At 37.1% G+C, this 13542-nt stretch overlaps 1 protein-coding gene across 10 annotated transcripts in view; it reads right to left on the reverse strand.

The window, feature by feature from the left end:
• Positions 1-13542, reverse strand: part of AGBL4 (AGBL carboxypeptidase 4) — a 1501444-nt gene that overhangs the window by 719420 nt on the left and 768482 nt on the right. For all 10 annotated transcript variants that reach the window (NR_136623.2, XM_017002595.3, NM_001323575.2 and 7 more), the window contains one exon: positions 3840-3934. Coding sequence is in view for 9 of the 10 variants with exons in the window: in XM_017002595.3 (XP_016858084.1) it covers positions 3840-3934 (95 nt within the window). In the remaining variant the exon portion in view is untranslated. The remainder of the gene's footprint in view (positions 1-3839; positions 3935-13542) is intronic.

Consider the following 13542-nt stretch of genomic DNA (forward strand, 5'->3'; position numbering starts at 1 on the left):
CATGTTATTTCTTCCACCCGGAATCCCATTTCCTTAATTTTATCCACTTTCCATTCCTTGAGATATAGCTGAAATATCACCTGGTCCTTAGCATGTCTCCTTTTCCCCTCGTGGCCTTAATAGTATAATTTTCTTCCTCTTCTCTAATCCCACTGCATGCTTTATGTGCTACTGATTCTTAGCACAATGTTCTCTACATTGTACCTGTTTATTTTTGTGTTTCATTCCAACCTCTAAAAAAGTAAAATCTTTAAAGAAATAATCCTAATCAACTGATATTAATCACCCCAAGATCTAGCACAGAGTAGATGATCAATAAAAATATGTTAAATGGAAGCCATCTCTAACAGCTAGTCCAATCTTTTCAATCTGCTATAATGAAAAAGCCAATCCAATAAGTTATTTCAGATTATCCAAAGGCCACACAATAGCATGCTACTCCTTGCTTCTTTTTGTCTCCTTCTTCCAACATCCCCATGCATGGAATGTGAGAGGAACAGTAAACTTGGAATCATGTGATTTCTGGCTGGTGCTACCACTTACTAGTAATGTAAATACTCCTAGCTTCAGTTTCTGCAGAGGTGAAGATACAGTTCTTAGTTGTCTTGCAATGCCAGTTCCTAGCAGTGCCTAGCACACAGTAATGAACACGGTTAAGAAATATTAATGAGTTATGAGACTTGGATACTGTTAAGAAATATTAATGAGTTATGAGCATCAGAAACCTGATGCTACAGAGCCCTAACCACAATCCTTAAGAAGTCTAATATGTAATTATTTAATCCTTAGGAAGTCTAATATGTAAATAAAATTGGAGTGAACTAAAACAGGCAGAAAACTTCTGAATCTTCCAGCTTCTCCATTTGCTGCTAGATGTCTCCTCAAGGCAGAACAGCCTTGAATGGCCACATATTTACATAATGGTTTTCCAGTTGTATCTTGTGTTAATTTGCTTTCTATAACTAATTAACTACCGGTCTATGCTAAGACTTGAAGGCCTTGGTACCTGTTACAGCCCCCTATGAGAGGTGAAGAAGAATGTTTGTTTCATCTTGAAAAGGTGAAAAAAGGGTGTTTTCCCAATTTTTATACATATATATATATACACACACATACATATATATATATACACACACATACATACATATATGTATTTTAAATTATATATATAATATCCAGGAAATTTCAGATTTTTAGTGTTTATCCTAAAGTAAGAATTTTTCCATGACTTATTTGGAATATCGAAGGAGGTAATACCCTAGACAAGTAAAGTATTACAAACTTTTTTTGTTATAGTGCTTGCCTTGGTATTGGGAAAGCTAGAATTAGAAAGACACTGGAGAAGATACTATAAATTTGAGATCTACGAGGTATTTTTCAGGTTTGAGTTAGGTCATTGCCAAGATTCCTAAATTGGGATAGACTCCTTGGAGCCAATAAAATCTAATATTCTGAGAGCCCATAGCCAATTCCTTATCAAACCCTGGGAACATTTAGGATAATGGCTGCTGGGAGATAGGCTTGGGTGTAGGTAACTGACTCAAAGCATAAAAGGAAGTCCTAGACATAGAGCACCAAGGTGGAAGAAAAGATGTTCAAAATTCAACAGTAGCAAGGAGAATAACAATTATGATTTGTAGAGATTAGTTAATAAAAATTCTAAATATAAAGTTCCCTTTTGGAACAGATCTTTTATAGCATATTCATCCTGTATCCCAATATCTACAACAGTGCATAGCACATGAAGGTGCTCAATAAAGTCCTATGAAGTAAAAAAAAAAATCTAAACATCTGGCTTGAGGAAAGGAAACTCTGAAGCAATGTAAGTAGCTTTGTATCCAAGTTCTGGGGATGGTAAGGTAAAAAATAGGAGATATTACGTATACAGTGTGATGTGCTATGGTACCTTATGCCTAAGTGGCTTAATAAACTACAACAAACTCAATTCTGAAACTTTAGGCTCTTTCAGACCATTAGAGGAGTCCAATGACTGGATAACGGCTGCTGCTGATTGCCTGCCAACATTGCATAAGAGCACCAACTTAATTCTAAAGCATCATAATCCAAAAGCAAGGACCCAATAAAATTTCAAAATCTTATCAAGAGCCCTAGCAGAGAAGACACAACATAGTTCATGAGAAAAAAGAAGCAAAGTGAAATAATTAAGGCTTATGCATCTTCAAAAGCACAAAAAAGGATTCTAGAACTTAACATTTGGGAAAAATGGATGGTGATTATTATTGCTGTACAAGATCCCAACACAGAATATGGAAAAATATATACAATGTCATTTCGAAGGCCCTCATGAGCAAATCAACAGTGATGTCCTGTTACTTGCAAGGTTTATAGTACTAATCTATATATATGCCTATTAACAGAGAAATGATTTCTATTATTATCTACTTGGGCTGGAACCAGAGACTCAAAGCAAAGGCCTACCCCTTGCCCAGAAAGACTGAGAGAAGGAGCAGCAGATTAGTTGATTTGATACAGGAAAGCAAAAAATCATGCCCAAGGAGATATTTTCACCTTTCATAAACAGTGTTTATTATTGTCATCAAATGCCTACACTTTTATAAACCTGAGCTTCTCAGCCCAACATTAATAGAAAATTGCCAAGTATCATTTGGAGATAAAAGCGCAATTCAGTATTTATGAATTGCTAGTTTGCTATAAATATAGACATTTGGAGACTATCTTCTCACTAGTCATTAATATTTGAACAGAGATCAAAGCTATAACAATATTAACAATTCGTTGCATTTGTATAGGGTTTTATATAATACTATTAATAATAGATGCCATTTATTGAGCACTTAGTAAGTGCCAGGCAAAACTTTACATGTAAATTCTCATAACAAATTCAGTTCATCTTAACAGGCATTCACTTAACACCTACTGTGTGATAGATGAATAGGTTAATAATACTAGGTTTTTGTCTTTGAAGTCTTTCATTTTGTTGTACTCAATCAATACTTGCTGAATGAATAAATGAATGAATGAATTGGCTGAAAAGGTATTACAGGGTAACATAAATAACACAGGGCACTCCCTTACTCTTTATGGTCTTAACAAAGTACTTAACTTATCCTAGCCTCAATTTTTTCATCTGTAATATAGGGATACTTAAAATTTCCTTTGCAAAAATGTGGAAATAGTAACAACAAATATAAAGCATCTGACCCAAATGGATTTTTAATAAGTGAGGTAGTTATTATTACTAGTATTATTAATATTATTATTACCATCATTATTACAATTATTAACCAATCCTATCCAACTCCCCTCCTCCTCACTATAGCAATGGTACAAATAGAACTTTAAAATACACACACACACACACACACACACACACACACACACACAAAACACAAAAACCATGCAAAGCAAGAGAAAGCTACTGAACTGTAGTCCCTAATGTCCTCCTAAGTTACTAAACATAATCTATGCTTAGGCTAGGAAAAAAAAAAAGAACCAACTTTATTTATGTTTCCAAAGATACCATAATAAAAGCCAAACAGGACAGGAAGCTTACCAAATAACAGACTGCCTTTTCTCATAATTGAATGCTGGTCATCCCAAGCACAGGACCATGTTTCCAACATTCTCAAGAACAGTACCCAAAGAATGGCCATACAGAAACTCATCCTCATTCTTCTCAGTGACAGTAAGTCTGATCCCCAGCTGTACAGCAGATAAACTAGAGTTCTGGGTAAAATTTTCTTTTAAAAATTTTTATTTTTAATTTTTTTTGGGGGTCCATTAGTAGGTGTGTATATGTATGGGGTCTGGGACAAATTTTCTAACCAGGAAGGGGTCCCATTCTGTAGATCACTTACCATTTTGGTCTGCTGGTAGATTTCACCATAGGGGCCATCCCATCTCTATAGAGACTCTTGGTTTTACTGAAGTTAACAATGTTGAAAATGACCCTCTGAAAAAGAAAGAGGGAGAAGTTCATCTTTATGCTATGCAAATTGTAACTTCCTGATAATTAAGACAGGAAATAAGAAACAGGGTTAAAGAAAGCCATATGGACTAGCAGGCAACTGTATAGTGAGAGTACACAGTGCTCATGAGAATGTAATGTGTTTGTGCCAGCTAAGCATAGCAATTAAGCATTAGCTCTGGAACCTGGAAACTTGAATTTTAGAACCAACTCTACTGCTTTTCAATTGTGTGGCCTTGCCAAGCTACTAAAGATCTGTTTCAGTGTCCTGATCTGAAAAATGTGAATAATAACAGTACCTACTTCACAGGACTCTGATGATAATTAAATTAATATATGTACAGTATTTGGTACCATACTTGGTACACAATGAATGTCACATAAGTTTTAGTTATTAAGTGTATCCTTTCTCTTGGCTGACCTAGAATTTACATAGAAGTAAATCATATTATCATCAGGGTAAGAGTAGTACATTTAAAGTTCAAAAACACTAAAAATATTAACTAAGAACAAAATTGCTATTAAAACATTCTACAACTACTTGAAACCCCTTTGACTAGAACTGAAGGATATACATCCTCTTTCGTACCCTCTTTGTTATTTTCTACTAGGGGTCGGGGTACTAGGCTCAACTATAATCTCAGCATACGTTTATAGCGCCATAAGTACTTGGGTAAATCTCTCCCCATCTCTGGGTCTTATCTTTAAAATGAGTGATTATGACATTCTAGATGCCTTTCCAAGAGGATAGTATAATTTTAAAAGCTCAGATCTTTGTTTCAGCAAACAACTTTGTTATAAGAGGGGAGGGAAGATTGTGAAAGAGAAGAGAAATATGATAAAAAGACACTTCAAACCACTGAAATAGTCCAAAGGAGAGATGATGAGAGCTACGGGTAGAGCAGCCAGAATAGCTGGAGAGAAGAAAAGATTTCAAGAGGTTACCACAGGCTAGCCTTTCTTTCCAGGGACAGTGAAAAAAACAAAACCATCAAAATTCATGTATTATTTTATTCAACAAGTATTTACTGCGTGAGGTATTATATAGTATCAAGTGACAGTAATTGTATATACTTTTTTAAACATTGGAAATATTCTTCTATAACCATAAAAATAAATATTAACACCCTCATTTAATAAATGTAGACACTATGGCTCAGAGAGGTTACCTAACTTGATTGAAGTCATACTAGTAGATGACAGAATTGATACTTGAATTCAGGGGATAAACAGATAAGATGTCCATGATTTTTACTCTTGAGTTAATCACTAAGATTCCAAAATTCCATAACCCTAAACAAGTCTATTTTCCAAGGGCAAAAAATAAATTTAATGGTAATTATTCAAGTCTTTAAAATTTTGTTTTGTTAAAAAGAGAAAATCAAAAGTATATCCTCTGGCCTCATGTTTAGGACTATAATAAAATGCTTTGTTCCATGAAATAAGCTTTTAGGGATAACTTGTGTTTTCCTTTCTCCTCAGAGACCAGCCATTTACCGCATCTCTAGGCCTTTTGGTTTCAGACCTCTCTTCTGTCATTAAATTAAGTCATCAAGAATGTCCAAGGCTGTTCCATTATTAATAACCTAGACTTGCCTTTTGTCAATTCAATTACTTCTCTCAGGGTCTTGGCTAGTATCTGATTTAAGAAAATCAATATTGAGGGGACAAATGGCCTTTGAACCTCAGAGGGCATAAGCCCCCCCTTTTTTTTCTGAGATTCCAGTTGTCAGATCCATTTCCAGTGAACCTGGAAGCCATACTGCACTTTCAGGTTCTAGATTATTGATAAATACAGAGAGAAAGCTAATAAAGCAATGATGTAAATATGTGAAGCTGGAATAAAGAAATGAGAAATAAAGTGAAACATGCACTGATCATTAACATCCTACTGTGTGCCTAGGAAATTTCCCAGGTATTTTAAATATGCTACATTATTTGTTTACTCCATTTATAAACAAAAGTTGTTTATTTTAGCCCGATTTTAGATGTGAGGAAATTGACACTTAAACAAAGTGGCTTGCCCTCCAAAAATCCCCAAACTATTGGTAGAGCTAGGACTTAAATCTTAGGTGTTTTGGCCATAAAGATCATACCTTCTCTATAATATTACATGGAAACAGTAACATCATTTCTTACCATTCCCTGTTCAAGTATTTTTTATGTTTTCCAGCCATTTAGCAACATCGCTTGTGGTGGAGAGATTCAAAATTATAAGAAAGCAGACAGCGCAGGAAACCCTGAATTTCCATATTTTGTACTTAATCATTAGTTTTTACTCAAAATGAATAAGAAGATGTGGCATCCATAAGATAATGGTAACCACGAAAATAATAATAATTTCTGAGCACACACTATGTACCATATTCTGAATTAAACACTTCATTCACATTAGAACAATGTTTTATATATTAGAATAACCTAATTGTAAATTAGAATCACTAGTATAGCTTTTAAAATGACAGATGCTTGGGCCCCACCCCAGATATTCTGATATTGATGCATTATCTCATTTGTTTTGAGGATAATGAATTTTTTGAGACAGGAACTATTTGTCACCTCTTGTTTACAGATGAGGGACTGGTAATGTGATTAAGTAAACTAAAATCATATAACTAATAAGTAGCAGAGCTAGTATTTAAACCAAGTCTGTTGCCTCAGAGGAATAAGATTATAGACTTTTTAGCCAGTTACCCTTGAGATTGAATCCCAGTTCCCTACACGTTCTGCGAGTTTAGGAAAGGTAATTATTCTTTTTTTTTTGGACATTGTTTACATCCAAAATTGAGATGGTGACAGTATCCTACCACAGTTGTTGTAAGAATCTGTAAGATTATATAAGTAAATCACCTGGCATATTGTATCTAGATCTAAACAGGTGTTCAATATTTATTGAGCGTTTCCTCTTCTCATCAATAAAGCCAGATCTTTTGGTACATTACAATGTCTTTCCTTCTTTCTTTTTATTTTTTCTTTAGATTTAAATTTTTAACCTGAGCTTCTTGTTTCAGTAATACGGTGCTCTATATCAGAGCTCTGTAAATAGTGACCACAGTACACTGTTAGTCTAAGAGTAGGTATAACCTTCAAGGCAGTCATATGTGAGGAATGGAGTACTGCCCATCCTGACCAAGGGGCTCATGGTGCTACTGAAAATGTGAAAGCTCCATTCCAGGTATAGGCCAAAGAGTGGTCCAATGTGGGTAAAGGTATCGTGAACAGCCTGCGTGCAGTCCTAAAGAGTGGCCTTGATTCTGTCTTGTCATATATGCAATACTTTTGTCCAATCATAAGTACATTTCCCATTTAATATTGTTCACGTTAGTTGCAGGGACTATTCTAATGGGATTATAACAAGCTAAAAAAGCTTATGCACAGCAATGAAAACCACTAACAAAATGAAGAGACAACCTCCAGAATGGGAGAAAATATTTGTAGACTATCCATCCTACAAGGGATTAATAAACAGAATATATAAGGAACTCAAACAACTCAATAGCAAACAAAAAAAATTAAAAAATGGGAAAAAGACCTGAATAGACATTTATCAAAAAGAAGACATATAAATGGACAATAGGTATATGAAAACATTATCAACATCATTAATCATCAAAAAATGCAAATCAAAACCACAATGAGGTATCATCTCACTGCAATTAGAATGGCTATTATCAAAAAGACAAAAAATAAAATATGTTGGTGAGGATGTAGAAAAAAAGGTACACTCATATATTGTTGGTGAGAATGGAAAGTAGTACAGGCATTATGGAATACTGTATACAAGTTCCTCAAAATACTAAAAAGAGAACTGCCATGTGATCTAGCAATCTCATCACTGGGCATTTATCCAAAGGAAAGGAAATCAGTACATCAAAGAGGTATCTGCACTCCCATGCTTACTGCAGCATTATTCACAATAGTCAGGATATGGAATCAACCTAAGTGTGGATCAATGGATGAATGGATAAAAAATGGAATATTATTCAAAAATACATACACAATGAAATGTTATTCAAAAAACAAATTAAATCCTGTCATTTGCAGCAATGGAATGAAACTGGTGGTCACAACATTAAGTGAAACAATCCAGGCATAGAAAGATAAATATTGCATGTTTTCACTCAGATGTGGGAGCTAAAAAAGTAGATTTCATAGAGGTAGAGAATAGAATGCTGATTACCAGAGGCCAGTAAGGAAGTTGGAGGATTAAGAGAAGTTAATTAATGGGTACAAAAATACAGATGGATAGAAGGAATAAATTTTAGTATTTGATAGTACAGTAGGAAAATTATAGTTAATGACAATTTATTATATATTTCAAAATAGGTAGAACAGAATTATAATGTTCCCAACACAGAGAAAAGAGAAATGTTTGAGGGAGAGGGCAAAATGGCTGACTAGACTCAAATAAGTGGAATGGCTCCCATGGAGGGACTAAGATGACTGGCAGGCTTTAAACAGATCTTTAGAGGCAAGGAACTGAGAGTGGATGGAGGAAAGACACACAAACTGGGCTGAAGGGAGAAAGAGCTGGGAACCCTGAACTACACACAGGAACTAATTTTTTTTTTTTTTTTTTTTTTGAGACAGAATCTCATTCTGTCGCCAGGCTGGAGAGCAGTGGCTTGATCTCAGCTCATTGCAACCTCCACCTCCTGGGTTCAAGCGATTCTCCTGCCTCAGCCTCCTGAGTAGCTGGGACTACAGGTGTGTGCCACTATGCTTGGCTAATTTTTGTACTTTTAGTAGAGACAGGGTTTCACCATGTTGGCCAGGATGGTCTCGAACTCTTGACCTCATGTCCGCCTGCCTTGGCCTCCCAAAGGGCTGGGATTACAGGCGTGAGCCACTGTGGCTAGCACAGAACTCATTCTTGAACCACAACAGCTCTGGGGGAATGGAGTCACCCACTCTCACTACCAGCCTCTGGAACTCTGGCAGGAGGAGAACCCTTGACCACCATGGACAATTGAGGTGGCAGGGAGAGCTGCTTTGAGAAGTGGTAGAAGTAGCAAGCCAGCTGATGTGGAGCTCACAGGGTTTGGTGCAGGGGCATCTGTAGTGGAGCACCGCCAGGGACCACCATCCCCCTAGGCTTGACTTGGTCCCATAAGATACTTTATCACTAAGGGACCTGATCTTTGCAGGACAGTCTTCCATATCAGATGGGGCTGGTCCAATATGAACACCCTATTGTCTGCTGGCCATTCCTGGGTCCCCAGCCTGGCCACATCTGCTTACAGGACAGTCTTGGGTTCCCTGGGGCCCCAAACCATATCTTCTGTGTGAGCAGACCATGCCTGACTGGTGAAGAGCTCCAGTGAGGCAGTTTCAATGGCCATGCACCAGCTGCCCACACCTTCCCCATACTGCAGCTTCCCCTCGGCCCAAGGCAACTCCCCACATCACTTTGCTGGTGTGTGTCTGCATGGGTGGATTTTGTTTTACTTGCCCTTCCACACATAAAGTGCAGTCTGCTCCCTCTCCCTTGCTCATAGCCATTGCAAATGGAGGCTTGGTGGGCACAGAGCCAGCAAGCCCCACCCCTGCCAGTGCCCCACCCTTGCAGTAACACTGCTCAGAGCACAGTGGATCCTCTCACACCATTAGCAATTACTCTTGCTTGAGGGGCACAGAGAAGGCACCCAGACCTGTGCCAGCCAGAACCGCATCCCTGAGCCAACACCACCTCCAATGCAACCATGCACAGTCTCCAGCAGGGGCCCTGCCTCTTCACAAACTTCATTGCCTTGTCACTGTAGTGAATGCCTGCAGGGAAGCAGGCACCCCTGCATCTGCCAGCACTCTGCTGCAGATGCTGTACCTCAGTTCCCCCAGCACAGTGAACTGCAAACCTTGAGCAGCTAGAAAACAAAGTTGGGGCCCAATACAAGTCCCCCAGAGTTAGAGCACACAGTCCAGGAGTTGGGAGCTGAGTGGTGGCTCTCTAAAATCTACCAGAAACGAAGCCAGTTGGCTAAATCCACCTTATACCACAAACCCTCAAGGTCATCAAACAGGATAAAAAAAATCCAAAGGTCAACAACCTCAAAGACTGCAGGACACAAAGATGAGAAAGAATCAGTGCAATAACGCTGAAAACTCAAAAAGCCAGTGTGTCTTCTTTCCTCCAAATGACCACATCACCTTTCCAGCAAGCATTCAAAACTGGACTGAGATGGCTGAAATGACAGAAATAGCATTCAGAATATGGATAGGAATGAAGATCATTGAGCTAAAGGAGTACATTGAAACCCAACAAAAGGAAAATAAAAATCACAGTAAAGTAACTCAGGAGCTGACAGACAAAATAACCAGTATAGAAAACAACATAACTGACCTGATAGAGCAGAAAAACACACTACAAGAATTTCATAATGCAATTGCAAGTATTAATAGCAGAACAGACCAAGCAGAGGAAGGATTCTCAGAGCCTGAAGACTGGCTTTCTGAAATAAGACAGGCGGACAAGAATAGAGAAAAAAGAATGAAAAGGAATAAACAAAACCTCCAAGAGACATGGGATTACGTAAAGACATCAAATCTACAACTGACTGGTTGTCCCTGAAAAAGATAGGGAGAATGGAACCAACTTGGATAAATTATTTTAGGATATCATCAATTAGAACTTCCACAACTTATCTAGAGAGACCAACATTCAAATTCAGGAAATGTAGAGAACTCCAGTAAGATACTTCACAAGAAGATCATCCCAAGACATGTAGTCATCAGATCCTCCAAGGTTAAAATGAAAGAAAAATGTTAAAGGCAGCTAGAGAGAAAGGTCAGGTAACCTACAAATGGAAGCCCATAAGACTAACAGCAGACCTCTCAGCTGAAATCCTACAAGACAAAAGACATTTAGGGCCAATATTCAACATTATTAAATAAAAGAAATTTCAACCCAGAGTTTCATATCTGACCAAAGTAAGCTTATAAGTGAAAAAGAAATAAGATCCTTTTCAGACAAACAAATGCTGAGGAAATTTGGTACTACCAGACCTGCCTTATGAGAGCTCCTGAAGGAAGCACTAAATATGGAAAGAAAAAACTATGACTAGCCATGACAAAAACACACTGAAATACACAGGCCAGTGACACTACCAAGCAACCACATAAACAAGTCCACAAAATAACCAGCTAACATCATATGGCAGGATCAAATCCACACATATCAATACTAACTTTAAATGTAAATGAGCTAAAAGCCCCAATTAAAAGACTCAGAGTGGAAGCTGGATAAAGAACCAAAACCCAGTGGTATGCTGTCTTCAAGAGAACCATCTCACAAGCAATAACACACATAGGCTCAAAATAAAGAAATGGACAAAAATCTACCAAGCAAACAAAAAACAGAAAAAAGCAAAGGTTGCAATCCTAGTTTCTGAAAAAACAGACTTTAAACCAACAAAGCCCAAAATGACAAAGAAGGGCATTACATATGGTAAAAGGTTTGATTCAACAAGAAGATCTAACTATCCTAAATATATATGCACCCAACACAGGGTGTTATGTCCCCTATGCACATAAGCTAGAAAATCTAGAGGAAATGGATAAATTCCTGGACACATATACCCTCCCAAGGCCAAACCAGGAGGAAATTAAATCCCTGAATAGACAAATAACGAGTTCTAAAATTGAGGCAGTAATACATAGCCTACCAACCAAAAAAAGCTGGGGACCAGATGGATTCACAGCTGAATTCTAGCAGATGTACAAAGAAGTGTTACCATTCCTACTGAAACTATTCCAAAAAATTGAGGAGGAAAGAATCCTCCCTAACTCATTCTATGAGGCTGGCATCATCCCTATACCAAAACCTGGCAGAGACAAAAAAAAAAAAAATCAAGGCAATATCCTTGATGAACACTGACGCAAAAATCCTCAACAAAATACTGGCAGAGAGAATCCAGGAGCACATCAAAAAGCTTATCCACCACAATCAAGTAGGCCTTATCCCTAAGATGCAAGGTTGGTTCAACATACACAAACCAATAAATGTGATTCATCACATAAACTGAATTAATATAAAAACCACATGATTATTTCAAAAGATGCAGAAAAGGCTTTTGATAAAATTAAACATTACTTCATGTTAAAAACTCTCAATAAACTAAGTTTTGAAGGAACATACCTCAAAATAATAAGAACCATCTAGGACAAACCCACAGCCAACATAAATATTGAATGGGCAAAAGCTGGAAGCATTTCCCTTGAAAATCGGCAGAAGACAAGGATGCCCTCTCTCACCAATCCTATTCAACATAGTATTGTAAAACCTGGCCAGGGCAATCAGGCAAGAGAAAGAAATAAAGGGCATCCAAATAGAAGGAGAAAGAGTCCATCTATCCGTGTTTCTAGATGGCACGATCCTCTCATCTCAGCCCCATCATCTCAGCCCAAAAGTTGCTTAAGCTAATAAACAACTCCAGTAAAGTCTTAGGATACAAAATCAAAGTGTAAAAATCACTAGCATTTCTATACCACAAAACAGTCAATCCATAAGCCAAATCAGGAATGTAATCCCATTTACAATTGCAACAAAAAGAATAAAATACCTAGGAATACAGCTAACAAGGGAGGTGAAAGATCCCTACAAGGAGAACTACAAAACACTGCTCAAAGAAATATAAAATGACATGAACAAATTGAAAAACATTCCATGTTCATGGATAGGAAGAATCAATATTGTTAAAATGGTCATACTGCCCAAACCAATTTATGGATTCAATGCTATTCCTATTAAACTACCATTGAGATTCTTCACAGAACTAGAGAAAAAAAATTTTAAAATTCCTGTGGAACCAAAAAGACCCCAAATAGCCAAGATAATCCTAAGCAAAATGAACAAAGCTGGAGGAATCATGCTGCCTGACTTCAAACTATACTACATGGCTACAGTAATCAAAATAGCATGGTATTTGTACAAAAACAGAAACATAGACCAATGGAACAGAATAGAGAACCCAGAAACAAAGCTGCATACCTAAAACTATGATCTTCAACAAACCTGACAAAAACACGCAATGGGGAAACGATTACTTATTAAACAAATGGTGCTGGAACAACTGGCCAGCCATATGTAGAAGATTGAAATTGGACCCCTTCCTTACACCATCTACAAAAATCAACTCAAGATGGATTAAAGACTTAAATGTAAAACTGAGAACTATAAAAACCCTGGAAGACAACCTAGGTAATACCATTCAGGACATAGTCACAGTCAAAGATTTCATGACAAAGATGTCAAAAGCAACTACAACAAAAGCAAAAGTTGATAAATGGCATCTAATTAAACTAAAGAGCTTCTAAAAGCAAAATAAACTATCAGTAGAGTAAACAGATGATAACCTACAGAATGGGAGAAAAAAATTTGCAAACTATCAGTCTGGACAATGGTCTAATATCCAGCATCTATAAGGAATGTAAATAAATTTACAAGAAAAAACAAACAACCCCATTAAAAAGCGGGCAAAAGACAAGATTACACGCTTTTCAAAAGAAGACATACATGTGGCCAAAAATCATGGAAAAAAGCTCAGCATCACTAATCATTAGAGAAATGCAAGTCAAAACCACAATGAGACACCATC

Source organism: Homo sapiens, chromosome 1 (genome assembly GCF_000001405.40).
Source record: "Homo sapiens chromosome 1, GRCh38.p14 Primary Assembly".
NCBI classification, from domain to species: Eukaryota; Metazoa; Chordata; class Mammalia; order Primates; family Hominidae; genus Homo; species Homo sapiens.